Source organism: Homo sapiens, chromosome 10, assembly GCF_000001405.40.
Source record: "Homo sapiens chromosome 10, GRCh38.p14 Primary Assembly".
In the NCBI taxonomy this organism is placed as follows: Eukaryota; Metazoa; Chordata; class Mammalia; order Primates; family Hominidae; genus Homo; species Homo sapiens.
The window spans coordinates 29,205,520-29,208,338 of NC_000010.11; the positions used below are offsets into that span (position 1 = coordinate 29,205,520).

The 2,819-nt window shown below is 43.4% G+C and overlaps 1 annotated feature.

The window, feature by feature from the left end:
• Positions 1,295 to 1,525: a silencer, noted in NCBI's record as "fragment chr10:29495743-29495973 (GRCh37/hg19 assembly coordinates)". NCBI's record gives its function as "represses an EF-1alpha promoter that drives an FKBP-Casp9 reporter gene in an ReSE screen in K562 erythroleukemia cells {active_cell/tissue: K562}" and the evidence as "EXISTENCE:reporter gene assay evidence [ECO:0000049][PMID:32094911]".

Below are 2,819 nucleotides of genomic sequence, written 5' to 3' on the forward strand. Positions count from 1 at the left end.
AACTCCTGGTCTCATGCGATCTTCCCATCTCAGCCTCCTGAGTAGCTGAGACTACAGGCATGCACTGCCATGCCTGGCTAAAGATGCTGTATCTTTTGATGTTAAAATCACAGCTCAATGACAAGATTTTTCTTTCTACCAGACAAGTTTTCATCATGTGAACTGGATAGAAGAAATCAGTTCATTAGAGTGTATTTTTGCTTTATGTGACTTCTGAGCATGCTATGGGCTGATAGTGTGGTCTCAACTGGGAGATAGCCTGGTGTGCAGCAGTCAGCCCAGAGCACACAGCGACCACTCGGGGCCATTGTTTTCCTTTGATTTTCACTGATGGTTGTCAATGCTGGCTTCCTTTTACTTTTCCAGCGTCAGAACTTGTTGATTTTCGTCTGGGCTTACGTGCAGTTCAGAATTTGCTCAATGTTTAGTTTCCTTTCCCCCTCCTCCCATTTATGATAAACCTGTTTATTATTTTTAGGTTGCAAAATCAAAATAAGCTTACAAAGACATCTTTGCTGTTGAAATTCCTGCTGAAAATAAACAACTTTGTAGCTGGGAGCCTGAAACTCTAGCTTCTAACCACTCCCTCATACCATCACCACCAACTTTTTCTCATTGAAATGACCTATACAGATTGTGATTAAAAAATAATACTGCAAAGGGTTTTAGGGATGCAGTTTTCCTATTACAGCAGTAGTCAGCTTGGGATATTATTGTTTTGCAAGACTTTGATAAGCTAAAGTGAATTCCAAGATGCACAGAAGGGTGCAGGTCTAGAAATCAATTGGAAGGAGCAGAAGGGATTAAGGCTGTTGGGCTCACAGAGAAGTGGAAGGTCCGTCATGCAGATGTATTTTTTAGACCTAATCTGTGTTTCTGCAGGACGCAGACCACAAGGTCAATGTTTTAGGGAATGAGATTTCAGCTCTGTGCAAGCAAGAGTTTTCTAATAATTAGAGGAGAGCAGAAAAGAAATGGGCTGCTTTGAGAGGGAGTGATCTCCACATCCATGAGCGAATCCAAGCAGAAAGTAGATAACCTCGTGTCGAGAAGTTTAGAAAAGGATTCTCTCTTATAACGCTGAGATGTGTTCTCCACTATGATCTCAAGAGTGTCAGAGGGTACACAGGTAAGAGGGAGAGGGTCAGAGGCAGATAAACAGTAGAGAATCATGCTGAATGCAACAAGCCAGACACGAGAGACCACAAAACTGTCTCAGATGGAGAGCTTTGCACACTTCTGCAAGATCGGCTTCTCCAGACCCATGGACTCCTCTGTGAGCCAAACTTCTTTGCTCTTCTCCACTCCCTGACTTGATTTCTACACCTTTCACCCTTCTGGTCCCATCTTGGAATTCAATTATGCTATCAAAATTTCTCCCCTGACAGAGTCTGGAATGTCTTCTCTAATGGGCCCGCACTGAATGCCTCAAGCTCTGATCCTGCAGGAACAGATCCCACCAGGGATTCTTGGTGAAGCCACACCATGCATTAAGAAAAATTACCTGGGCCAGGCGCAGTGGCTCATGCCTGTAATCTCAGCACTTTGGGAAGCTGAGGCAGGAGGATGTCTTGAGCAGGTGTTCGAGACCAGCTTGGGCAACATAGCGAGACCTCATGTCTACAAAAAATTAAAAAATTAGGCATTTTGTCACATGCCAGTAGTCCCAGCTGTTTGGGAGGCTGAGTCAGGATGATCGCTTGAGTCCTGGAATTCGAGGTTGCAGTGAGCTCTGATCGTGACACTGCACTCCAGCCTGGGTAACAAAATAAGACCCTGTCTCAAAAAAATAATAATAAATAAATAAATAAATAAACAAAGCAAAGCTAAACTACCTGGAGCACCTGCCCCTGTCATGTGCATTTGGGCCCTGACTCACTAGTGGGGATCACTAAAGACCTCACTGGCCTGCCTGGTGGTGTGACAGGAAGGCTTGGCGTTTCTGCAAGTGAGACTTGAATGCGTTGGTCTGAGAAACTCCAACTACATGAAGGCAGATGCTTCGCCTCTTGGTTTCTCAACCAAATTGTGCTCCAGGGGACTCCTAATCCACATCTTTCCTACTAATTTACCCTTCATTCATCAAAATATGATTTCATAAGAGTGTTTTGATGTCTAAGAAGTCTGAGTCTCATGAGTCTCTTAAGCCCTTTCCTGCTTTGTATCATGAAATTGTGTGCTCCCAGTGTTTAGTGGCACTAGGAGCTGGGAGAGTAGCCTTGTAAACAGTTCTCTGCCCAATACTTGCAGGCCAATTGTGATTATGCCAGGTAGCAAGAAGGCAAGCCATTTTTCTTTACATTATTCATTGGGCCCTCCTTCTAGGGAGGGTCCACCTCCATTGGAAATTTAGTAAACCATACCATTCATTCACTCTCTCAATCAACAACTTTTAAATAAGCATGTACTATGAACCAGGCATTGTCCCAGTGGTAGGCATCCAACATGAACTACACTCAGCTCTAGCTCTTAAAGAGCTCACATACTAGCAAAGAAGATATTTGTGCAAATAAGACCATCACCACCAGGGTGGTAAGTCCAGATCTGATAAAATGCAGTGTAGTATGGAATGAAGGATGCGCACCTACCCAGGCTAGGGTAGAAAAGAGATAGTCAGGAAAGACTTTTGAAGATGCCCAGAAATGATCACGTCTAATAAATAGAGGTGGTCAGAAAATAAATGGACTCCCTTGTGAGGGATCTCCACATGAAGTCATCTTGTGATACAAAGTGTAAATTCTCAACTGTTTTTTAATGTCTCTTGCACCAGCCAATTACAATATTTTATAGATAGAGAAAGCACAAAGGAGAAGGTGGAA